Genomic DNA, 26,770 nt, shown 5'->3' with positions numbered 1-26,770 from the left:
AAAAATTACCTATGTGTTATGACATGAATAATATGGAAGCCCTGCTGCTTTAATTCTCGGACATTTGTAAATTTTGGATTTAAATGGTATAAAATTTCTGGGTTTGTTTTTAAAATTATGATGTTTGGTGTCTAGGTGGCAAGATGAAAGAGATTTCCAGCTGTGACTTGTAATCACACTGCCTCAATGTATATACTGCAAGGATGAATAGCCTTTACCTCAACAAACAGCAGTTACATTGGACAGAACAACAAGAGATTGCTCCTGTATAAATATTTTGATCGGATGACTCCAACTTGAAGGTCTGGTGGAAGTCATCTTGAGGAGAACACAGAGAATCATCACTGTTATGCTCATTAATTTGAATCATCAGTGTCCATGAAGCCTTTTGTCCTAACCAATGGTTCTCTTACGGGAATAATAAACCAAGATGTTATGATACCAAGCTGGAGAAACCACTTAAGGCCATATAATGGGCAACCCCCTGGTCTCCAGAGGCTAGAGTTGATCACCTGAGGGATGACCTGGATATCTGGGTCATAACATCCACTGTTCTCCCACTTAGTACCGGCTTCTGATTCTCAAACCTTTCTATTTCAGAGGGAAAATGTTTAAGCAATTATTTTCTGATTTTCGGTAATGCGTGTTAAGTTGACTCGTTCATGTATGAATGTTACCCTGGTCAGCCCCGTAACACCCCAGGCACTGGTCTGTGATGTGCAACCTCCTGACCGAGTGTGGGCTCTTGTGCTAGATTAAATTCCTAGAGCTTGAACCACTGCGTGACTGGCGATGTCCTCCTGGGGAAAGGAGCCAATAGGCATTAAGTGTGCTGTCATTTCAGCTGGTCTCCTCACTAAACACACTGCAGAGATTATTTTTTAAAAAGGTAAACAGAGCCAGGCATGGTGGCTCATGCCCGTAGTTCCAACTACTCAGGAGGCTGAGGTGAAAGGAAACCCTTAGCCCAGGAGTTCCAGGCTGGTGAAGATCATCTTGAGAACATAGAGAATCAGAACTGTTTTGCACCTAATTAATTTGACTCATCAGTGTCCCTTATACCTTTTGTCTTAACCAGTGATCTCCTATAGGTATAGTAAAAACTAAGATGTTACAGGAGTTCGAGGCTACAGCGAGGTATGATCGTGTCACTGCACTTTAGCCTGGGTGACAGAGAAAGACCCCATCTCTAAAAAAAGAAATAAAAATAAAAGGCAAACCTAATGGAGATGTCAAAGTCATCTATCCATGCTTCACGCAGGTTGCTTAAAGGAACCTAAGCTTTGGGAGGAAATCAGTTTCCTCTTTGTCCCTTTTTTTTTTTTTTTTTTTTTTTTTTTGAGATGGAGTCTTGCTCTGTTGCCCAGGCTGGAGTGCAGTGGCGCAATCTTGGCTCACTGCCACCTCCGCCTCCCTGGTTCAAGCGATTCTTCTGCCTCAGCCTCCCGAATAGCTGTGACTACAGGCATGTGCCACCACACCCGGCTAATTTTTGTATTTTTATTTTATTTATTTATATTTATTTATTTATTTTATTTATTTTTTTTTTTTTGAGACAGAGTCTCACTCTGTCGCCCAGGCTGGAGTGCAGTGGTGAGATCTCGGCTCGCTGCAAGCTCTGTCTCCCGGGTTCACGCCATTCTCCTGCCTCAGCCTCCCGAGTAGCTGGGACTAACATCTCCTCTTTCATTATGATTTTGAGTTTCCTCTCAATGTTTAGGTAGTCTAGCTAAACTTTATCTTTTCAAAAAAAAAAAAAAAACTCTTAGTTTCATTGATCTTTTCTGTTGTTTTTCACCCAACATTGGTGCACCGAAACATATAAAGCAAATATTAACGGAACGGAAGAAAGAAATAAGCAGCAGTACAGTAGGAGACTTCAATACCCCACTTTGAACAATGGATAGATCATTCTGACAAAATCAATAAGCAAACAGTGGACTTGAACAGTACTATAGAGCAAGGGACCTAACAGACAAATATCTAGAACATTCCATCCAACAGCAGCAGAATACAGTTTTTTCATGTGCACATGGGACATTCTCCAGGATAGATATGTTGGGCTACAAAGGAAGTCTTAACAATTTATGAAGACTGAAGTCACATCAAGTATCTCTTCCAACCACAATGGTATAAAACTACAAATAATAGGAAGAAAATGGAAAAACTCACAAATATGTGGAAATTAATACATTCCTGAACAATCAATGGGTCAAAGAATCAAAAAGGAAATTTTAAAAATATCTTGAGAAAAGTGAAAATGGAAACCCAACATACCCAAACTTCGACACAGCAAAAGCAGTTCTAAGAGGCAAGTTTATAGCAATAAGTGCCTAAATTAAGAAAAAATTAAGACTGCAAATAACCTAACTTTTGATCTGAAAGAACTAGAGAAGAAAAAAAAAAAAAAAAAAAGAACAGAGCCCAAAGTTAGCAGAAGGAAGAAAATCATAAAGGTCAGGGAAAGATAAATGAGAGACTAGGAAACAACACAAAGGGCCGGGCATGGTGGCTGACGCCTGTAATCCCAGCACTTTGGGAGGCCGAGGTGGGGCAGATCACCTGAGGTCGGGAGTTCAAGACCAGCCTGGCCAACATGGTAAAACCCCGTCTCTACTAAAAATACAAAAATTAGCTGGGCGTGGTGGTGCATGCCTGTAATCCCAGCTACCCAGGAGGCTGAGGCAGGAGAATTGCTGGAATCTGGGAGGCAGAAGATGCAGTGAGCCGAGATCATGCCACTGCACTGCAGCCTGGGAGACAGAGCAAGACTTCGTCTCGAAAAAACAAAACAAAACAAAAAAAAAAACCCACCAAAGATGGAGGCCAACCAACATCCTTCTTTTCTTGCCAACCTTCTAATCTAGCATTCTAGAGGGTCACATGTGAATCATCCCAATGTCAGCGCATAGGCTCAGCTAGAAAGAAGCCTGTTCCAAAAAAGAAAGAAGACAGGGAAAGTTCTCAGAAACATCTGTATACCATTCTCGGCTCCTTGGTCCATTTCTTCCCAGCTCCTAGAGACAGGTCCTCTCTAGACGTTCCACAGGGTACGGGGCTTGGGGATGCTCCAGTGCTCAACCCCGGCGGGGATATGATTACACTCAATTTGGCACTTGAGAGAAAACTTTCTCAAATTGTTCCCTAGTGGTTGTTTTTTTTGAGACAGAGTCTCTCTCTGTCCCCCAGGCTGGAGTGCAATGGCGCGATCTCGGCTCACTGCAACCTTCGCCTCCCGGGTTTCAAGCGATTCTCCTGCCCCAGCTTCCCGAGCAGCTAGGATTACAGGCATGCACCACCACGCCCGGCTAATTTTGTTTTTCTTTGTATTTTTAGTAGAGACGGGGTTTCACCATGTTAGCCAGGATGGTCTCGATCTCCTGACCTCGTGATCCGCCTGCCTCGGTCTCCCAAAGTGGTAGGATTACAGGTGTGAGTCACTGTGCCCAGCCCCTCTTAGTGGTTTTTATGGGAACATAATGTCAAACAAGACTGTGTACACCTTGAAGAGGGTTCATGGTACTTTTGTAACCTCGTGTCCCTGACTCTTCCAAAGCCAATAGTCACAATGCATTTAATAATATAATTAAATCTTTTACCCTCTGCACTGAGCAGTAATGAGGAATGGCAGAAAAAAGCAGGGTATCAACCACAACAACAAATTGGCAATGCTATTCAAACCATAAGAAAATTTTACAAAAACACATTTAGACATGGAGACACATTTTCTAAATATGAATCACTGTGAGGAAAGCAGTTTAAAAATAATAATAGCTTCTATAATTTATGAGTGTTAACCATGGTTTATGTACTACGGCAAGAACGTTGAGGAAATCATGCAATCATGCAATTTGTAAATACATTCTTGTAAAAAACAAAAAACAAAACTCATGTGGTGGAGAAGCAGACTGAGTAAAATGTCCAAGTTACTCCTTCACACCACTCGCAAAACCATTCCTGTCACTTTTTTTTTTTAAGAGACAGGGACAGTGTCTCACTCTGTTGCCCAGGCTGGAAGGCAGTGGCACGATCATATCACACTATAACCTTGAACTCCTGAACTCAAGTGATCCTTCTGTCTCCGCCTCCAGAGCAGCTAGGACTATAACCTAGAGACACCATGCCTGGCTAATTAAAAACAAATTTTTTTAGCCAGGTGCGATGGCTCACACCTGTAATCCCAGCACTTTGGGAGGCCGAGGTGGGCGGATGATGAGGTCAAGAGATCAAGACCACCCTGGCCAACATGGTGAAACCCATCTCTACTAAAAATACAAAAATTAGCTGGGTATGGTGGCACATGCCTGTAGTCCCAGCTACTCGGGAGGCTGAGGCAGAATTGCTTCAACCTGGGAGGCAGAGGTTGCGGTGAGCCGAGATTGTGCCACTGCACTCCAGCCTGGCAACAGATTGAGACTGTCTCAAAAAAAAAAAAAAATTTTTTTTTTAAGAGACAGGGTCTTGCTATGTTGCCCAGGCTGATCTTGAACTCCTGGGCTCAAGCAATCCTCTCATCTTGGTCTCCTAAAGTGTAGGGATTACAAGTGAGAGCCACCATGCCAGGTCTCAACTTTTATTTTTTGTGATGTATTAGCACACATCGGTTTAGTTTATCTTTTCCTTTATGACTTCCTGCACTGATAGTCTTACTTCAGGAGGCTTAGCCACTCTAGATAATAAAAATATCCTATTTTCTTCTAATATTTTCACAGATTTTATGTTTAGCTATTTTTATCTCATCTGGAATTTTGTGTGTAGGATTTAACTTTATACTTTTTTCCCAAAGTTTTAGGCAATTATTTCAATACAATTTACTAAACAGACTGTCTTTCATCTTCTGCTTTTGAAATACTTCCTCTCCATATATAAAATTTCCTGTCCCATATGGGCCAATTTGGGATTCCCTATTCTGTTCCACTGATCTGTGTGTCAGTTCCTATGCCACACTCTTTTAATTACTAGAACTTTAAAGTACAGTTTGCTGTCTGGTGAGAACCCCTCTTTATTCTTATTTTTCTTTCTTTTTTTTTTTTTTTTTTGAGATGGAGTCTCACTCTGTCTTGCCCATGCTGGAGTACAGTGGCACGATCATGACTCACTGCAGCCTCTGCCTCCCAGGTTCAAGCAATTCTCCTGTCTCTGCCTACCAAGTAGCTGGGACTACAGGTGTGCACCACCACACCTGGCTAATTTTGTATTTTAGTAGAGACAGGGTTTCACCATGTTGGCCAGGCTGGTCTCTAATTCCTGACCTCAGGTGATCCACCTGCCTTGGCCTCCCAAAGTGCTGGGATTACAGGCATGAGCCACCGTGCCTGGGCTGCTATTCTTATTTTTCAAATATTTCTTATTCACTCACTTTCCCCTCTTTTATATGAATTTTAGTTGATTTGTTCAAGTTCCAAATAAATTCTTTTTCAGATTTGATGGAAACTGTATTTATTTATAGATAGGAAAGGAAGACAGTAGAATCTGGTGTCCTTAAAAGAATGTCTGCAGGGTCCATTTATTAGCTACAGGAACTATGGTTGTAGATACATAATCTGAGCTACTGTTCTTTACTTAAGAATGCAATAAGTTAAGGTTGGCCCCATTAATAAGCAAACAAATAATTCACTTAGCCAGCCCCAGTGGTCACTTTTGAATCTTTAAAGTACATTTTTATGCTGTAATCAGCATCCCAAAAGTTTTCAACTGAGGTTCTGAAATCCAAGATTTTCTTCTAATGTTACTTTTACCAGATCATAAATCAAAGGGATACAGAGATTACAAATTCAGACATTCCCATCACATAATTATTTCAAATCACTGTCTGCTATGATATCCCTTTCTCCACTCTAACCTGCATTTCAGAATGCAGTGTTTATGATGTATCTCTTGGCATGGATATCTCAAAATTATGACCACAGACAGTGGAACAAGTCCAACTTTAAACTGAAAACAGTACTTAAAAAGAGTTTAATTCTGGCATCCCTATTTATGTAATAATTACAATTTAATAAAGACATAAAATAGTGACAGATTTTCTTTAGAGATACTGACCAGATCTTTCTTTAAACAGAACAAAACCCAAAAAGGTTTAAACCTGTTTCAAAGTGTAATGAGAGAGAGAAATAAGATCTGTATTCAAAATAGACAAAAATCTAAGACAAAAACAAAAAATAGACAAAAATCTAGTGCTGACGCTTGCGGGCAAAGAAAAAGAAAACATACATACTCTTTTTCAAATACTTTACTTTTCATACTTTTTTTCCAAAGCTTTAGGAGATGACAATCTAGCATGACTGGAATGCAGTGATCACATACAAGAGCAAAAGTTTCTTTGTCCAATTCACCGTATTTTTCTGAGAGAAAGGGCACAAAACCTCTCTTTCATGAGACACTACGCGAACTTCTACCTGATGTAACAGCACGTTCTAAGAGCAAACAGATAAACCAACTGTGGCACATGTATACAAAGGAATACTATTCAGCAATTAAAAGGAATGGATTACTGAAACATGAAACAACATGGATGACTCAATCCATTATGCTAAGTGAAAGAAGATTCAAATAGCTACAAACTGTATGATTCTGCTGTGGACTCAATGTTTGTGTCTCCCCAAATTCTTATGTTGAAACTTAATCCCCAATGTGATAGTATTAAGAGGTCGAGCCTTTGAGAGGTCATTAGGCCATGAGATTAGAGAACCTCGTGAATGAGAGTAGAACCCTTACATAAGAAGCCTGAAGGCCAGGTGCAGTGGCTCAACCCTGTAGATCCACTATTTTGAGAGGCTGAGGCAGGAGGATCACTGGAACCCAGGAGTTTGAGTTCATTCTGGGCAACAAAGTGAGACCCTGTTTCTTAAAAAAATTTAAAAATTAGCTGGGTGTGGTGCTGTACACGTGTAATCCCGGCTACCAGGGAGGCTGTGGGTGGGAGGATCACTTGAGCACGGGAGGTTGAGACTGCAGTGAGCTGTGATGGCGCCACTGCTCTCCAGTTTGGGAGACAGAGTGAGACTGGATCTCAAAAAAGAAAAGAAAAGAAAGAACAAGCCTGAGGGAGCTTATCTGCCCCTTCCACCATGTGCAGGTACAGCAAGAAGGTGCCATCTATGAGGAACAGGACCCACACCAGACACTGAATCTGCCGGTGCCTTGATCTTGGACTTTGCAGCCTCCAGAACTGTGAGCAATAAATTTCTGTTGTTTATCAACAACCCAGTCTAAGGTATTTTTTAATAGACATCCAAGCAGACTAAGATTCCATTTATATGACATCCTGAAAAAGGCAAAATAGGAAGAGAGTATATATCATGGTTGCCAGAGACTGGGGATTAGGAAAAAGATGACTATGGGGGATACTTTCAAGGGTGAGGAAATGGTTCTCTGTCTTGAGTGTGGTGGTAATTCACAAGACTTGTGTTTGCCACAATTTACAGACTGGTACAACTAAAGAGGTCTTCCTTTAGCTTCTTACTTTAGTATAATATCTCAATTTTGTACTGTGAATGTAACTCCATTTAATTTCTTCTGGAATTGGGGAAAATTTATCATGATGAAGAGTAAACAAATTATATCTCAATAAACCTGACTTAATAATAATAAAAAAATACTCAACTCAAAATGCAAACCAATCCTCACCCTGTCTTCCCATACCATCTTCTATCCAACAAGAGCACGTCAGTTATTTGCTTAGGAATGAGGATCCACTTAATGAAAATAAAGTATATAAAATCCAGCCTTCCTCATTGGTTAGAGCTTTTCATTTTTCCAGCAATCTACAACTCACCTTCTCAGTCCTTCCACAGGGCCATGGGGAGATTCTCTCAAGCAAACCAAGTTAACAGCGTAGAATGCTAGTGCCAGGATCATGGGCCCAGGCTCGTGGATCAGAATCTGATCCCACAGGATATTCTGAACAAGTCTACATAGTTTCAGGCACAACCTATGGGGTCTCATAGATGGTCAACTTAAGTTCATGACAGAGCCAACTACAAAGGCACTGCAATCTTTGACTGCATTAAGAGAAGTCAACTGTCCACATCACCGGAGGAGGTAATAAGCCTCTTCTGGATAAGACTGCATATAGAGAATCTGATGCAGTTCTGGCATTAAAATTTAAAAATGGCAGCCGGGCATGGTGGCTCACGCCTGTAATCCCAGCACTTTGGGAGGCCAAGGTGGGAGGATCACAAGGTCAGGAGTTTGAGACCAGCCTGGCCAACATGGTGAAACGCCATCTCTACTAAAAATTAAAAAAAAAAAAAAAAAATTAGCTGGTGTGGTAGCGCATGCCTGTAATCCCAGCTACTTGGGAGGCTGAGGCAGGATAATTGCTTGAACCCGGGAGGCAGAGGTTGCAGTGAGCTGAGATCGCACCACCACACTCCAGCCTGAGCGACAGAGCAAGATTCCGTCTTGTTAAAAAAAAAAAAAAAAAAAGCTAAAAATGGCAATGCTATCTTACGATGAGCAGCTGAAGAGACTAAGGTGCTTAACCCCGAAGAACACAATCTGGGTGGAGGATGGGGTATGGGATAGGATATGATGGTTTCATACAAAAAATATATGAACAAGAAGAATGGGGTAGACCACTTCAGGGTGCCACAGGTAACAGAACTAGTACCAATGAGAAAAAGATTAAAGGGCAGAAGATATTTGGTATCTGTGAGCTTTCCAAAATTCTGTCACTAAATTTCTTTCCTGCTTAAATGAGCCAGAATTGTTTTCTGTTGCATATCTCAAACTCCAGTTGTTAGAAGTGCATGAATTTGGGGAACTGGGGTTTGAAGTGCTATTTTACATTGTCCTTGGGTCACACATGAGGATGAAGTTCTTAGAAAGTTGCATACTTCCTAACGTTGGTTGCACGTGAAGAACTTAAAAAAAAAATGAGATTCTCTATCTTCCTTCTACTGCTCCAAGATTCTGTAATAATAAATCTAGGGATGGGAGTGGGGGTGAGAAGAAGCCAGCCAGGAACACTATTTTTTTTTTTTTTTTTTTTTTTTTTGAGACAGAGTCTCACTCTGTCACCCAGGCAGAAGGGCAGTGGCTCCATCTCAGCTCAGTGCAACCTCCGCCTCCTGGGTTCAAGCAATTCTCCTGCCTCAGCCTCCGAGTAGCTGGGATTACAGGCGCTTGCCACTACTCCCAGCTAATTTTTGTATTTTTAGTAAAGATAGGGTTTCACCATGTTGGCCAGGCTGGTCTTCAACTCCTAACCTCAGGCGATCCACCCTCCTTGGCCTCCCAAAGTGCTGGGATTACAGGCATGAGCCACCACACCCAGCCTAAAACAATTTATATATATAAGTGGTTCTCTCACCTACTCCACCCAACCATTCAAAGCTGGGACTGTTACAGAATCACATGACCTCAGAGCCAGAAGTACCCTCCAGGAAGCACAGGCCATTTACATCATATCATTAAATCACATACTCCTTTTATTAGAATTTCTCGTATTTTATTTTTCTCTTTTTATACCTTATGTCTGCAAATCTGTATGTTTTCTTTAAGCAACTCTATGGAGACCTCGTTGGTACTTAAGATCATTAAGGTTAATTATTATACCACAGACTGAGTTCTGTTGTTCTCAAGCTCTATCATTTCCAGGGGAGGAAAAGAAAGCTTTATCTGTTCTAGGGATATCTCTTTGCTGGAACAGTTGCAGAAACTCTTTACAGATATTAAAATCTGTCTGGTTCTTAATCTAGTCTGGAAAACAAGGTCGAAAAGCCTGCCATTCTCAAAATGACAAATCTTGGAGCATCTGCACCATCTACGGCAGCAGCAGAGGTATCAAAGACAGCCCTCGCCCCTGAGCAGACAAAAAAACATCCTCTGACTTACATGTCCCAGCTTGCTCGCCCAAACAACTCCGAACTCTGGAGCATAGCTGGAAAGCCACCACAAAAAGGGCAGAGGGTGTGAAATGATTCACTAATGGGCCATTAGAGCTACTTCAGGAAATTCAGAAGTGATGTACTTCTATGGAAATCCTGACTCCTCCCAAGTAACCTTTCATTGGGTTATAATAAAGTATTTCTTCCACCTGTACTGATTCTGTTTGGAGCCACTCAGCAGACATGTAAAATCTCTGGAGATAATATATAATAGGGATGATGATAATGAGACCACCCTTAAAGTTTATATAATGCTTGGCACTTTCTTTCCCAAAGCCCTTCACATACATTGTTCGCTTGGCCTTCCTTCCCTCTCTTTCCCTCCCCTACTTCTCTCTCTCTTTCTCTCTCTCACTGTCCCCATCCACCACCCCCCACCAACAGACGCATAGACCAGGTCACACTCTATCCTCCAGGCTGGAATGCAGTGGTGCCAACTTGGCTCACTGCAACCTCCACCTCCCAGGTTTAAGCGATTTTCCAGCCCCAACCTCCTGAGTAGCTGGGACCACAGGCTTGTGCCACCACGCCCAGCTAATTTTTGCATTTTTAAAAAATTTTTAAGCTGGTCTTGAATTCCTGGGCTCAAGCAATCTAACTGCTTCAGCTTCCCAAACTGCTGGGATTACAGGAATGAGCCACCACACCTGGCTTATGTTTCATTTGATTTTCATATCAACTTTGTAAGGGAGGTAGCACAGATAGATTTATCTTTATTTTATAGACGGTGAAGTTGAGGCACTGAAGGATGAAATGGTTTACTGAAGAGGCGGGGCACCTGGGGCATTCCAGGGGCCTGTCAGCTGTGGAAGCATCAGGATGGTTGACGTCACTCAAGTTTTAGTCTAGAACTGAGAAAGGATGCTCAGGTTAAATTTGTTTCTGTACCCTGCATACATGGGCATTTCATCATGGCCATTCTAACGCGACAGCCCAGAAACAAGGCCCCCGGGGCTTAGAATAGTGGATTTCATCAACAACCAGAGAGTACACATAGAACCTGGTCTTTGTAGACTCTGGTCTTTGTAGATCCAATGTACCTTTGTATATTGTCCCTCTAAACCGAGGGGCACCCTTGATACCAGTTAGCCCGTTCTTTCTTGAGGCCTTAGTTTCCTCATCCATAAAATCAGGGCTCTGAGTCTGGGATACCAGGTCTACAGTGGTGGTTTCCAAATTTGACTGATCAAAAGAACCATCTTAGCCGGAAATGGTGGCCCATGCTTGTAATCCCAACACTTTGGGAGGGAGAAGTGAGAGGATCTCTTGAGGCCAGGAGTTCAAAACCAGCCTGGGCAATGTCGTTAAGACCCATGTCTCTACAAAAAATATTTTTAAAAACTAGCCAGTGGTGGTGTGTATCTGTACTCGCAGCTACTTGGGAAACAAATGAAAATAAGGTGGGAGGATTGCTTGAGCCCAGAAGTTCAAGGTTACAGTGAGCTATCATTGCACCAGTGCACTCCAACCTGGGCAACAGAGCGATACCGTTTCTTAACAAAAAACAAAACGAAACAAAAAGAATAATCTATGGAGCCTTTCCTTTGAAGAAAAAAAGGACTGCTTTGTAAAATGACAGTTGTTCGGTAAAGATTTAAGCAAACAAGTATAAATAAGGGACCTCCTAATCATCTATCACTCACTGGTGGTAGGACAGCAGTGCCATAAAAACATTCTGACATGGCGGCGGGGAGCACAATCCAAGGAATTCCTCTATTCCCAAGGAATGTTTTACAAATATGACTCTAGACCCCACCCAGACCCGCCGGAGGGCCCAACAATCTGTATTTCCTGAAATGCCTCATGAGATGCAGTCAGGTTCACACAATAGATTTTGGGAACCAAGAACACAGATAATTAATAGGGACTCTTCCTGCAGAGACTGGTATAAAATAGCATGTTTGGCCAGGCGCAGTGACTCACGTCTATAATCCCAGAACTTTGGGAGGCCGAGGCAGGCAGAGCACTTGAGGTCAGGAGTTCAAGGCCAGTCTGGCCAACATGGTGAAACCCCATCTCTACTAAAAATGCAAGAATTAACCAGGTGTGGTGGCGCACGCCTGTAGTCCTAGCTACTCAAGAGGTTGAGGCAGGAGAATCCCTTGAACCTGAGAGGCAGAGGTTGCAGTGCGCCGGGATCGTGCCACTGCACTCCAGCCTGGGTGACAGAGGGAGACTCCATCTCAAAAAGAGAAACAAAAACAAATGAAAATAAAACAGCATGTTTGCCAGGGAGAATTCTTCCAGTCATGAGGTGCCACCTGTGCTTCCTCAAGGCTAAGATGAACACTCTTGGGGCTACAGAGAGTTTACCTCAAGAGTAGAAATAGAAAGAGGAAAAAAGGAAGAGTAGGAATAGCAGAAATAGTAAGGATCACCCTATAATGGCTGTGCACCTGTCCCCATCCTAATGCCCATCTCCTTAAAGACTCTTCCTGGGGGAGGAGACCCAGGAAGCACCTGGATCCAAGCCAGGGAAGACGATGTGGTCTCAGGCAGGTAGAGTCTGAAACTATGAAAGCTGCGGCAGAACACCCTAGGGGGTTCCCATAGGGAAGAGAACAAGGGGGAAAAACAGGGTTGAGGGAGAGTTTCTCAAGGGAATCTAGTAAAGCCAAACCCAAAGACAGAATTTTGGTGTGGTTCAGCCCTCTACATTAACGGGGACGCTGTATCTAGAATCCTAGAACATTCCTTAAGACATATTCCACATGATGTTCTCATAGTCAACCACCTCTCTCCCCAGAAGATAGGACCGAGATAGCAGAAACAAACAAGAGATGGCAATAACATCTTTGGCCAGTGGAAGAATCCCTCCTTCACTAGGAATCAATAACCTGGCTTTGGAATGCTCAATGCCAGTCTCCTGGGAATTTGATTAGCATGAGTCAGTTTCCAGGCCGCTGACAACCTCTGATAAACACACAAAATTGGATTTCTGTTTATAAGCGCCACCCTGTGAAGCCACCAGTTGGCCTGTGACATAAGTGGTTTGACCAAGGCCAAAAGCACACCATTAGGGCATAGTCGGTCAGATCTCGGGGTTCTGGAGCTGCTTGGGCTGCGGAAGTACAGGGACATTTTTACTCCCTGATACTCTGCCAAAGGACCTTTCTCTCACTTGCAAACATCCATGAAAATCTTACAAAGATATACAACTTGCATCATCCAATGACACACTTAATAAATCTCCCTTCTGGAAAGAAGAAAGCCATATACACAATCCTCCTGAGCGCAGAGCATCTGGTCCGCACACATGTATGGGATCAGATGGTAATCTGCCCTCTTCTGCACCCAGCAGGGCTGAGGTAATTGGCTACAGGCAAGCAGCTGCTGCGCACGGCTCAGCTCACAGCTCACCTGGTGCACATGGGCCATGAGGCCAGGAAGCGGCCCCTCCAAGGCGCAGCTGCAGCTGCTTCCCAGGGAATGCACACCATGAGAGAGTCACCTGGGGACACACGTGCACACGCTGCCACCCCACCCTCCACCTTGGCAGCCTCTCCCAGAGCCTGAGCTTCCACCTAATTAACACCCCAACAGGGCAGTTACTCTGGGATCTAAAGGAGGCAACATACACACTTGGAAGCAGGCGAAGTCTGTCTTCTGGGATTTTCCCACATTTCCTCTCCTGGAACATCTCTTCTCACAACCACATGTTGGAATACTTAAGCTACCTACAACTAAGATTTATCAAAATTATAGGAAGTGAGTTTGGAAAACAGAGGTTCTTATCTGAATTGCTGTAGGCTACAGCCTGGCTATTCTGAATTTGTTTGAATTTGTTAGAAAAGCAGAGGTCTCAGGCCCCACTCCAGGCCTACAGCATTTTATCAAGATCCCCCAGTCACCTGGGGAGAGGCTAGAACATACCACGCTGTCCTGGGCTCTTATTTTTTCCCCAGTAAATGAAGATCTAAGTAAATATCAAATGGTAGCCCTTAAGACAGGGTTCCTTTTCTTCCTTCTCTCATTATTTTGTGCCATAGACTCTCTGGCTACCTGGTAAAGTTTCAAAAATTATATTTTAAATGTATAAAATGCATAGGATTACAAAGAAAACCAATTATCTGGAAAAACAATACCCTAAATGTTTAAAGATTTGTAATGTAGTAACCTGCATGTGCTTGTTACACTGAATTCAAAGATCTAGCAACATAGTTGCTAAACAGACTAACTGACATATTCTCAAAGTAGTAATGACTGTAGATGATATTGGGATTTATCTGCTACAAATAATGAATATCATTTGTGCTGGTGACAAAGACATAAGGACTGCTAATACTACTGTCCTTTGTTGCCTACATCCATTATTGAAGGAAATACCAAATTTGAGCTACAGTTCAGTTTTCTTCCCTTCTAGGTTCACAGTCCCTCTGAAATCTACTAATAGAATCCAGGTTAAGATAGACAGATGTTTAAAGATCCTGCGCAAAAGGAATAAAGAGAGTGTTGTGCCCTATATCTGTCTGTCTCTCTGTCTGATTTAGTTTGAGGACAAGCTGGTCAAATCACTTCCTTCTCTGATAGCGACTGCATTTGCCTCGTCGGCTTCTTTGTGTCTTGTGGCTTCTACGTAGCTAAGCACGCAAGTGTTTAATACGTCCTTTGGATTAAACCCTCTAGGTTGGGTTCTAAATATTTCTGAAGCAGAAATATTACATTCCGAATGTACATTCCCATGTTACATTCTGAATACCATTACACAGGGTAACTAAAATAACCCCGCTTTTTAGGATGCGCCTTCTTCATCTGGGTGGGTCCTACCATACCAATGTGGATTTACTACAAACTACTGATGCTGAGTTCTGAACGGTTCCCCCAGCTCTGCCAGAGTGCCTAGGGCAGGCTTCTGTCTCCTGGATCATAAGCACCTTTTCAGGGTAGTTTTCTTGCCAAGAATAAGCAACACTTCCCACAGCCGTGTCAACTGTGGTTCTCAAAATAAGATCCATTTTCAGGAAAAGCCAAAATCGATTTTGTCTCTGATTTTTTTTTTTTTGGAGACACAGTCTTGCTCTGTTGCCCAGGCTGGAGTGCAGTGGCACAATCTCGACTCACTGCAACCACCGCCTCCCATGTTCAAGAGATTCTCCTGCCTCAGCCTCAGGAGTAGCTGGGATTACAGGCACGTGCCACCACGCCCAGCTGATTTTTGTATTTTTGGTAGAGACGGGATTTCACCATGTTGGCCAGGCTGGTCTCGAACTCCTGACCTCAGGTGATCCACCCGCCTTGGGCTCCCAAAGTGCTGGGATTACAGGCGTGAGTCACCGTGCCCGGCCTTGTCTCTGTATTTCAAAACTACACATCCGAAGCATCTTAGACTGTTCTGTAGGCTATTTTCCCCTCACATCAACCCAAGTGCCATGAAAGCAAAATGGAACTGAGCACATCAACCTTGGGGAGTTCATCTGACACTGGTTTGAACTCTCACCGAAAAGTAGTCACGACACCATGAGGCATTTCTCTAACAAAAACAAACCATGTGAATGTGTTTGGACCACATGTTTACAAAAGAGAAGGCAGATCTACAAACTGAGACGCAGTCTTACATAAAGAGTTTTGTTTGGCCGGGTGCAGTGGCTCACGCCTATAATCTCAGTACATTGCGAAGCTGAGGCGGGAGGATTACTTGAGCCCAGGTGTTCAAGGTTACAGCAAGTTAGGATCGAACCACTGCATGCCAGTTTGGGCAATAGAGTGAAACTTTGTATCTTTAAAAAAAAGTTTTGCTCAAAAAGAGCCATGTCTCCAGGTCCATGTGAGTGCCATGAAATAATTACATTTCTCCCTCCCTGACACACACACACACACACACATGCCCATAAGCACACAAAGGATAGCACTCACACTTAGCTTCTCTTTATCTAGGTTTGGTCACCCAAAAAATACATCTCTAAACCTTGCAGTCTGAACATTCTAAGACTAGTCAGTTGCATTATCATCTTGACCTAGTTCTCCACCTATCTTGGTTCCAGGGCTAATCATGTTAGATACGGCCATAAAAAAGAAAATAGGTTGAAAGCAGAGGAAACCTCACAGATTTCAGAGTCAATCTGTGGATAACAAGAGTCTATCATAGTAAATCACAGAGTAAAAACGATTTTAAAAATCAGTGCTATATCATTCACTGTGATGTGGCCTAGAATAGTGACTAACTTGCAAGGTTTGAGATCCTGGCTTCAAGACTGCTTAGGTTTTAGAGTGACCCAGAGGTTGTTTCTGGAGTAGATGAAGAACCCACAGAATTAAAAAACAAAACACATACTAAAACTGACAGCAGATTCTATCCCCATTTTGAAATCCCAGTGGCAACAAATGTAATGAATGAAGCCACCAGAGACTATAGCGAAGACTGATGTTTCTTCTACTGAAATGGCTGAATCCATTCACTTTTAAGATGAGAAGTTAAATTTCTATTACCCTAACAAACTCGTTACAAATGTCTAATTAGACACAGGCATAAGAGCATCTAATGTCTCAGCAGTATGAAAACAGCAGGATTTTCATCACACAAAGTTTGGATGGGCCAGTGGGACCCCAATAACATCCTCAAACGCCAAGTTGTCCCCAAGTACGTACATTTCACAGCTTCAGCATTTCATTCTAACATTCCTTGACTCACTTGAGGGATAAACTGAAGTCAAGCAAGTTCTAGCCTGTAAAACAGATTGTGCAAAGGACTTAGCTTTACAAATCCAAACTGCATCCTTTATTTTTGCCACCTTCTTTCCTGCAGCACTTAGATGTAATTTTCTGTTTCCCCTCCAGGTCTTTATTGCTCCCCTGCCAAAACTGTCTTGCATCTGTTACAATAAAATATCTTTGATATTTTCCAAAGCCAGCAGCTTACTGCCAAAAGTCAAGCCTCTATCCCATGGGCAGTCGTCTGGGAACTGAAGTCAAAGTGTTGCAAACTCATGGCGAAGGTGGAATTTGGCAACTCAAAGATGGGGCTCCTTGGAAAGCAGATCCTCCTCTTGCTGGTGGAAGTGGCCAGCAAGAGAAAATATGAACACTTTTGCCAAAGGGTCAGAAATGTTGGTGCAAAAGGCAAGAGCAAAAGGTTGCTATTCCATTAAAGAGCACCATGATGAATTCTGGGATTTGTGCCATTCAAATGAAGACCAGCTCCACTACCCTTGGATCTCCTGCCACTCACCTCATGGCTTGTGGTCTTCTATTTTTGTTATGATTTGTGTGGAAATCTAAATTGTTCACTGCAGAACCACTTTTTTTTTGGTGGGGGGGCATGGGGATGGGAAGGAGAGTTTGTAAGAATTTTAAGTTTTTGTTAAAAGGGCAAGCCTTGGAAAAACACAATACATAAACACAAGAACATTTATCTGCCCTTCACTGGGAGTCATCTGCACTGATGTTCTGCCCCTGCGGTCTCAGGTGTCTCACTGAAATAGAGACTTTTTACCAAACGGATTCTCAAGGGCCACTTCGTGCCTTCCTCAGATTCACCTTCCTCTGCCAATTTCCAACTTGGTTTCCATCTTCTAATTTGGGAAGTGTTGAAATGAGAAAGGCAAAGAGATGGTCTGGGTGTATGTGGCTTTAGGCTACCTGACAACCCCCAAACCTCAAAATTACCAAAAATACAGACTATAGGGTGATCCTTCTCTTCTACCAATGAGTCACTTTTGGTCTCTTTAAGGACCAAGTTCCTCTGCTGCATGTAAAATATAGTTGGGTTGATTCTACAGGAAGAGATCCTGAAAGAAAGGGAAGGCAGATCTAGAGTCCCAAGTCAACAGCTGTCATGGCCTGACTCGTGGTACAGGGACCTCATGGTGCAGGGCTGACAATGTGCCCTGCTGAGGCCATCTGTGGAGTCACAGTGTGGCTATCCAGTGAGGCACCCATGTGCTTAACGAAGGCAATCTGGGCAGATGGGCCTACAAGGGACAGCAAAGACAACAGAAGAAGTCACAAAGGGGTATGCCCTGCTGCAAGGAACAGTTGCCATGTCCATGGAGGGAGAATGTTGCTATCTTGTTCCCCCGTCACCAAGGAAAGGCAGGGCTCCAGTCGGGATCTCCATGGCATGAGGGACCTTGTGCTCCACCCCCAGTGCCACCGTAGGTAATGTGAAGAACTCATGTTTGGAAGTGAGAGACTATATCACCTACAAAAGCTCTTAAGAGGGGCACAGCTTGTATGTAAACACAAAGCCACAGAAAGGAATCCTCTGCTGGCCACTGAGCCACGAAATTATTGATTCCCTTTTATAGACATGGTCACAAGTTTTCTTGAATTCAGAATCATAACTTTTATTTTGTCTGGCTGTTCCTCTCCTCTAGGTTTATACACTTTGTGCATATATGCAGACGTCTGGCTTGGTCTTTGATTCTATTCACCATAAGGAAAAAAATGATAAATAGATGTCTGATTCCAGCCTTGTTTCCATAGCCAAAGGGAGATGACAGATGCTTCAGCTTTGGGCTGGACACTCAGCCCTCACAACATTGTATAGATGAGTTGGCTTGTTAAGGGCTGCTCATGGCTTGCACGCCAAAGTGACTAGACTTTGGTGGTTTCTGTCTCTTTAGGAGCCAGCTTGGTTGCATGGCTCAGAAGCAAAAAGGTCCCACGTGCTACCATGTGGTACCAGGTAGTTTTAGAATTCTGACACACACTGCCTACCCATGCAGAGGAAGAGGTTACTCACCCTCCAGCCTGAGCCTTCTGGGAACCCAAAGCCAACCCTTCACCCCACAGCCCGCCTCACTGCATCTGGCCACACAGCACCACTCCCTCTTGGGCAAGCCTAATACATTTTCTCACGTGCTGATTCCTAACTGCCCCTTGGCCTGGGGAGTCCAGACCTCAGTCTGGTTGGTTTCCAGTTGAGTTTCAGCAGTTACGCAAATCAGGTTTCTGACTGTGTCTGAAATTCCAGTGCATACAGGAACAGCAGGTTGCTTAATCTCTAAATTCAGAGCCAACCCCTTTTCTAAATACGAAAGTGCTGCCCAGCTCCCATGGTAGATTAAAGGACCCACCCCTCCCAGCTCTGACAACCTGGCTCATCAAGCGTACAGGCGCCATCTTGTTTTCCAGGCCCTACCTCTGGTGGGGCGCCATACTTTTCATATTTTCATCCTTCCTCACTTGTTTTGTCAAACTGGGCCCCACCCCCATTCTTCTCTACTGACAACATCCAATTTCCAAATATAGGAGGAAAGATGGTTGAAATGTCCCGGTAGTAAACAACAATCTCCTGTGAGATGCTTTCCTGTGTTTCTGCAATGGACAAAAAGCTACTTACACAAGATGGCTCCATACCGAGGCCTGAAGTTTCGACACAAGTTAAACATGAACAAGGTCACCAGATTTTCCTCTTCCTTTATTAGAAATGACATAACAATGAAATACTGTGCTGGGTAGAGGAGCACTGCATGTTCAGAGGTAAGGTTGGAGGGCCTACAGTAAGCTTTCTTAGAGGGCAATAAAGAAACATTGTTCTAAATATGAGAAAACATGGTATTCAGCTGTCTTTTTTTTATAATTGCAAAAAACATCTTTTTTTTTTCCAAAGTGGCAACACCAAATGCTCTCAGATTGTGGAAGTCTAGCCAGCATTCAGTATGCAAAAGAGAAAGAAGTGAATGACTTGTGTGAATTACCAGAGTTTTGGTCCCCAATGGGTTCTTCCAGTAGGGCACACAGTCAATACATGGCTGGACTCATAGGTGTCTTTTCCAGCAGGTTCATAAACCAGGAAAGAGGGTGAAAATCCAACCACAGGCACATAGTTCATCTAATATTTCTTTACTATTGTTGGGACCCTGCAGAAAAGCTTCAACTTCCTAACTCCTGAATCTACCCATTTGGAGGCGATGGCACCAATACAGACTAAGAAACTAAAATCAGTTTCCCAAACAAGAGCCCATTCAAATTGCTGAGGGCTTAACTTGCTGCATCAACCCACTGATCACATTATTCACCAATGATATTAAAAAATCAACAGGTCAAGGTGGAGTGCTGGGAGCAGTGGCTCACACCTGTAATCCTAGCACTTTGGGAGGCCGAGGTGGGCAGATCACTTGAGGTCAAAAGTTTGACACCAATCTGGCCAACAGAGTGAAACTCTGTCTCTAAATGGGGGCGGAAATCAACAGACCAACCAGCAAACCAGCAAATGTTTTTTTCTAAAGATCGGATAGGCTTTGTGGGTCACTATCTCTGTCCTATATTCTTCTTTGTTTCTTCAACTCTTCAAAACATAAAACACATTCTTAGCTCCCAGGCCATACAAAAACAGGCTAGGGCAGTCTGGATTTGCCTAAGGGCCATAGCTTGCTGAACACCGCTTCCAGCAGGAACCCTGGGAAGGAACCTGTCCCCAACACAGCTTCTAAGTCACTGCAGATAGCACCTGGGACAGATCAGTCTGAAGGATGGGAGACAAAGGGGACACACACAACAGGTGAACAGTAGGCAAGAAAGGACAAGAGTTGGGGTGGCGACGGTAGGAACATGGGGTGAAAAAGTTTTCTAAAAGACCACAGGAGGTGCCGTTCCTCCTCCCATAGAAGGCTAGCTGTGTAATGCTGAGAAATCACACGGAAAGAGAGACTAGCAATGATGTGTGGGCTTGCTTGACTAAACACAGCCATCCCCCAGCCCTCCAGGACTAAAATGCAAAGCCACAAAACGTGGCCACCACGGCATGAGGATGACCACAGCATGAGGATGCCAGCCAGGCAGTAAGCAGTAACCCAAGCAGCTCCCAATTTTGCCTTTTCAGACACACCCCTGTGGCTACGGGGCATTCTCCAAACCTCAACGCAAACAGTTCCAGGATTCAGGCTGGGCTATTCTACCGAAACAAAATTCTCCACCTACCTCTGACGTTCTTCTCAGGCTGACCACACGCACCATTTCTATCCAACCTCCTCCATGTTAGCCCAATCCCCCAACACCCTGGCCACTTCATTAGTGAGGGAAAACATGTCAGATCATCCCAGTGCCCAGGAGAAGCAAGGCCTAGAAATGATTCAGAACCTGGGGCTGGAGATGATCTTTATTCTGTTCTACTTCTCTTATCACAAGCCCCAAACCTTGACAACGGAAGGAACACCCTGAGACTCGGCTACAATCATGGGAATCAAAAATCAGTTTTAAAATTATCCTTGCATGTGGCTGCCACCCATGGTCCTCCCCATTTATTTTCTACTTCTGAGTGTGAAACGTCACTGTGACAGTTTCCAACCCTCTGCACTCCCCCCACTCCATGACAAATATTCAGGATTCACACTTCACTTTCACACTGCTTTCCAATCCCTTGACTTAGAAGCCGAGCAGAGGCAGCCTGCCTTAATGGAGAAAACATTAGTGCATTCGGGCTTCACTCTGGATCCCAGTCAATTTCTGGATATTTCACAGCTGTTATACATCCACCTCCTTTCTTACAAAAGCCAGCAAAAATTAGTGAGCACCTCGTTGGCTCTGAAATATGAAAATGGAGCCACAGTCAAGCCTGAAAATCGGTTTCTGGTTGACTCCCTTCAAAGTATTTGTTCTAAAACACAGTGTCTGCAGTTCATTTATCATCTGCCAATTTTTAAATGAGTTTAAATTAAAAAAGCTTCAATGCTGCATGCTTTTTTTCTTTTTTTTTTTTTAAAGCAACTCTCAGAATAAAACTGTCATTTGGTCATCACACTAGTAACTGAGAGAACTCTTGCTTGGGCAGATATCAGCACAATTCAAGCTGAGTCTTTTATGTTATTATTACCTGCTCATCTCTCATATAATTAAAAAATAATAAACCCTTGGAAGACCTGTAAGTTGTGTTCAGAGAGAAAATGTGATTCTCTTCACCACTCAGGTCTCCCGTCCTACCTGCTTTATGAGCTGGTCAGGTGAGCGTGCTCTGCTGTGCTTCAGCAGCCTCTGGAATGGGACAGACTCCAAAGTTGGTTGTGCTTCACTTCCCTTCTCCATTCAGGTCTTTAAAGTCCTGGGTTATTAACTATCAACAAAAATACAAGCTGCGCCATGCGTGCTCCAACTTCCTGCCAGCTCCCCATGCTCTGTGGAGCTGAGGAGCAGATTCTCTCTCTCTCCTCCCGGCTTCACCTCCTGAGCTCCAGAGCCCCACCCACCCACAGCACTCAGATCATTTTTCATTTATGAATGCATCCAGCCACGCTGTGTTTGTAAGAGAAGGAGCCAATCCTTGCCCTGCCAGTGTATTGGAACCAGGCTGCTATAAACGGTTCTAATTTTCCAGGAGTATGGGGGGAAATCATATCCCAGCAGACATCATGCATGGCTTCCTCCTGCAGGTATCTGCAGATCAGCTCTTCCATCACCAAAGGACGCACACTTGGCCACGGACCACAGCTGCTTCATTCTACAGACTGCCAGGGAGGAGGACTGAAGATTTCAGGCAGGAGAAAACCAAAATACTATCAAAATGTGTACTTCACATAACTAAAAATGTGAAGCTAGGATGATCAGTGAAGAAACTTTCCACTCAGTGACCTGATATTTCACAATACATTTAATCTGTCTTGCACTTATTAAAGGGCCAGATTTTTTTTTAAATTGCATCCAAATGCAAACAAAAATCAAGGGGTTAAATTATTTTATAAAGAAGTCTGTTGGGAAATAAAAGCCATTTGTCTTGATGACACCAAATTTACAACTTTTCTACTCCGACTAAGCTTCCAACTTCCATTGTAGACAAGTACTAGCAAAACCAGAAATTATCAGTCAGCCCTTGAGTTGCTGAAAAAATCCTCAACTTTTAAACACAATATGATTTTTCTAAGGTTTTATCAGGAAATAGAATGTTAAAAAATAGGCTTCCCTAAACCAACACACATATATAGTAGTTTCTATTATGGGTAAAATTTGCCTTGTTTTACAGCTGAAGCCAAAGGGGTCTTTCATGATCCAACAGCCAGAGACAAAGATTCCAAAAACCTTTGGTGCAGGTATAAAAATGTACATGTGCAACTTAAATGGGAATGACATTTTATTATTCCAATACTCACAAGGTCCTTTGTTAGCTATACTTGTAAGGAACAAAATAGGAGCAAACATCCTCTGTTTACTTCTTGCAGCCATTCTATTTTCTTTCTTTTTTTTTTTTTGAGACAGGGTCTGGCTCTGTTGCCCAGGTGGGAGTGCAGTGGAGTAATCTCGGCCCACTGCAACCTCCATCTTCCGGGTTCAAGAGATTCTCCTGCCTCAACCTCCTGGAGTAGCTGGGATTACAGGCGCCCGCCACCATGCCCAGATATTTTTTGTATTTTTAGTAGAGATGGGGTTTCACCATGTTGGTCAAGCTGGTCTCAAACTCCTGGTCTCAAGTGATCTGCCCATCTCGGCCTCCCAAAGTTCTGGGATTACAGGTGTGAGCCACCACTGCTGGCCAGATTTTTGGTGTTTTTTAGTATATTCATTTATTTTAGAGTTTTATCCAGTATAAATTTTTCCCCTAGGAGCCTTGTATTGACATAACCTAGTTCCAGTCACAGTGAGACATTTTTGAAATTGCTTCTAAATTTTCCATGTATTAAAAAACTGGTGGTCTAGTATCCGGACTTAAGTCTTTTTTTTTTTTTTTTTTTAATTAGATGGTTCAAATGTCTCCTAAACAGAAAATGCTATACATTTTCTCATGTGCTCCAAATGGATTCTAGCCATCCCAATACCCTAACACATTCTTGAAAACAAAAACAGGATCCGCCTTTTACTGATGAGATAAAGAAGACAGAAAGTCACTAGTATATATGATGTTTCCCTGGTGCGGCAGAGAAAGAACTAATGGGAGGATTAGTTCCTAGTCTCCAAACACCAGCAGGGAGCCCCAGGCAAGTCCACATTTTTTGTGTGCATTCAAGAGGCCTGAAAGTTGATCGTGTGGGTAACTTCCTGGAACTCACCTTCCTAGTTCAGGAAAGCGTGGACTCCTGCTCACAGTTCAAGCTAAGGAGAAGGAAGTCTGCTCTTTAGCTTTTTTTTCTTTTAAAAGAAGTGAGGGAAAAAGATTAAAATTGCCTTGGCCTGTGACCAAACTGCAGTCCTAACAAGAGGTAAAATTTGCCTATAAAATATTCCTGACAGTATTAGTTGGTGACATCTGCCAAAAATCTATGGTAAAACCAGTTATCCTGCCTCTCTTTGTCCCATTCTCTCAACGAAGGGTGGATAATATATAACATATAGTTTTGCTTTAAGGGGAATTACTGCTACATTTACTCACAAAACGAGCCACGTAGCATACACCAGAATTCAGCAAGTACACAAGCCACCTAACCGACCCAAGTTTCTGAATTGCATTATCCATGACAGGCATCTGGGGCTCTGCCTTCTTCGTGTCCACCTTGGTTCCTTGGTCACTGGGCTTAGGAGACCACTGTGCACTCACTGTCCATCACCCGGGAGGGACCCTGAAGATCACTGAGTTCTACTTTCTCATTGCGTTCGTGTGGAAACAGAGGCCCACAGGAACATGAGGAAGCTTTCCAACATCACAGGGCACATTAGTGGAAGTACTGAGGTTACAACGTAAATCTTCCTGATTCAAACTCTAAGATGGTGCCAAGGGGACAAGGTGTGGATCTTTGTAGGCAGGGGCTCAGTAATGGCTGTCCAGCGGGTCACAAAGCCCAGCCTAGGGACACACCTAAGATTCTCCCAGAAGCTAAAACAGAAAGGTAACAAAGAGGGCAATCCCAGAAATCCCCAGCAGGAGTCGATCATACAGCAAAAGCCAAGGGACACCCCAGGTATAAACCCAAGAACCGAAAGCAGACACACGAATGGATATTCACACCCTCGATATTTGTAGCAGCACTGTCCACTCAATAACCAAAAGGTGGAAGCCATCTAAGCATCCACTGATGGATGAATGGATACAGAAAATGTGATACATATGTACAATGGAATACTATTCAGCCGTAAAAAGGAAGGAAATTCTGACACATGCTACTACTTGGATGAGTTTTGAAAAGAAACTATGCTGGCCGGGCGCAGTGGCTCATGGCCTGTAATCCTAGCACTTTGGGAGACCGAGGTGGGTGGATCACTTGAGGTCAGGAGTTCGAGACCAGCCTGGCCAACATGGTGAAACCCCGTCTCTACTAAAAATACAAAAATTGGCCAGGCGTGGTGGCACACATCTGTAATCCCAGCTACTCGGGAGGATGAGGCATGAGAATCACTTGAACCCTGGAGGCAGAGGTTGCAGTGAGCCGAGATTGCACCATAGCACTCCAGCCTGGGCAACAAGAGCGAAACTCTGTCTTAAAAACAAGAAAAAAAAAAAAAGGACACTATGCTAAGTGAAATAAGCCAGTTATAAAAGGACAAACCCTATATGATTTTAATCGTATGAGGCACTCAGAATAGTAAAATTCACAGAGACAGAAAGTAGAATGGTGGTTGCCAGGGGCTGGGGAGAGGAGGAATGGGAAGTTACTGCTTAATGGATCCAGAGTTTCAGTTTTGCAAGAGGAAAAGCCTTCTGGAGATGGATAGTGGTGATGGTTACACAACAGTGTGAATGTACTTAATGCCACAAAACTATACATTTAAATTTATTAAAATGAGAACTTTTATATTAAGTGTGTGAAGTCAATGGAGCCTGGATTTTCTTTCTTTCTTTCTTTCTTTCTTTCTTTTTTTGAGGCAGAGTCTTGCTCTGTCGCCCAGGCTGGAGTGCAGTGGTGCAATCTTGGCTCACTGCAGCCTCCGCCTCCTGGGTTCCAGCGATTCTCCTGCCTCAGCCTCCCGGGTACCTGGGATTACAGGCACACGCCACCACGCCTAGCTAATTTTTGTATTTTTAGTAGAGACGGAGTTTCACCATGTTGGCCAGGCTGGTCTCGAACTCCTGACCTCAGGTGATCTGCCTGCCTCGGCCTCCTAAAGTACAAGGATTACAGGCATGAGCCACTGCACCCGGTTTGGTTTTCTTTACATTTTCTCATTGGCCAGTTCTATGGCTATCATGCTTCATATGCTTGATGTCACAAAATGAAAAGACCATAAAATGCAATTCATAAATGGTCTTAAAAACAACAGGAAGCACTAACATTTCCTTCTCCCCTTTTCCCATCCCCCAGTCAAAAATCACACACAGAAAGTTATGAAAGCAAACAAGGTTTGTTTTCCTGCCCCTTGATGGGAGATGATAATGTCAGCACTGATGGGGAACACCCTGCCAATTGTGCAAGCGGGGAGGACCTTGGCCTGCAAATTTGGGGAGGCAGCTCCCTTCCAACTTCTGCCATTAATGGAAAGGGTTCAGAATCACACCTGAGAAAGCTCCGTGCGGCTGTGGCCCACCCCTCCCCTCCCATCCAGCCCTCCTGGAGTTCACACACCCTCAACTCACACAACGCCGGCAGCATACACTGACACCATCATGCTCTGGGGCCTTCATTGTATACAGATCTGTTTCTTAGCTGTCAAATCTGTCCCATGAGCCATAAGCCTCTAGTGGACAGAGCTGCCTCCAGCTCTCTGGCCCCCTTTTCAGTCTCATTCCTCCTGCCAGGCCAGGGTGGGCCTTGGAGGGGTACCAGCTTCTTCGTTCCTCCCTCCTGTCACCTGGATTATCCCATCTACTTCCATAGCTACAGCAACCAAGTAAGAGCCACCAGCTCCTCAATCTCCATCTCTCTTCTGAGCTCAGACCCTCAACTCCTGCCCAGCTGCAGCTGGGTGTCCTGCAGCCACCTCAAACTCAGCCTGCCCTAAAAAATCTACTATGCGGCCAGGCACAGCGCCTCACGCCTGTAATTCCAGTACTTTGGGAGGTCAAGGCAGGTGGATCACTTGATGTCAGGAGTTCGAAACCAGTCTGGCCAACATGGTGAAACCCCGTCTCTACTAAAAATACA

At 43.6% G+C, this 26,770-nt stretch overlaps 1 protein-coding gene and 1 non-coding gene across 7 annotated transcripts in view; one reads left to right on the top strand and one right to left on the bottom strand.

Annotated features, from left to right (window-relative positions):
- The window catches only part of PDZD2 (PDZ domain containing 2), a 471,802-nt gene that overhangs the window by 152,834 nt on the left and 292,198 nt on the right, over positions 1–26,770 (bottom strand). The window lies entirely within an intron of this gene.
- Positions 21,940–21,997, top strand: MIR4279 (microRNA 4279). Its single transcript, NR_036241.1, has one exon. It is a non-coding gene; the product is annotated as a microRNA 4279 (primary transcript).

The sequence above is a fragment of the Homo sapiens genome, chromosome 5 (genome assembly GCF_000001405.40).
Source record: "Homo sapiens chromosome 5, GRCh38.p14 Primary Assembly".
NCBI lineage: Eukaryota > Metazoa > Chordata > Mammalia > Primates > Hominidae > Homo > Homo sapiens.
This window is presented reverse-complemented; position numbering and strand designations above follow the sequence as displayed.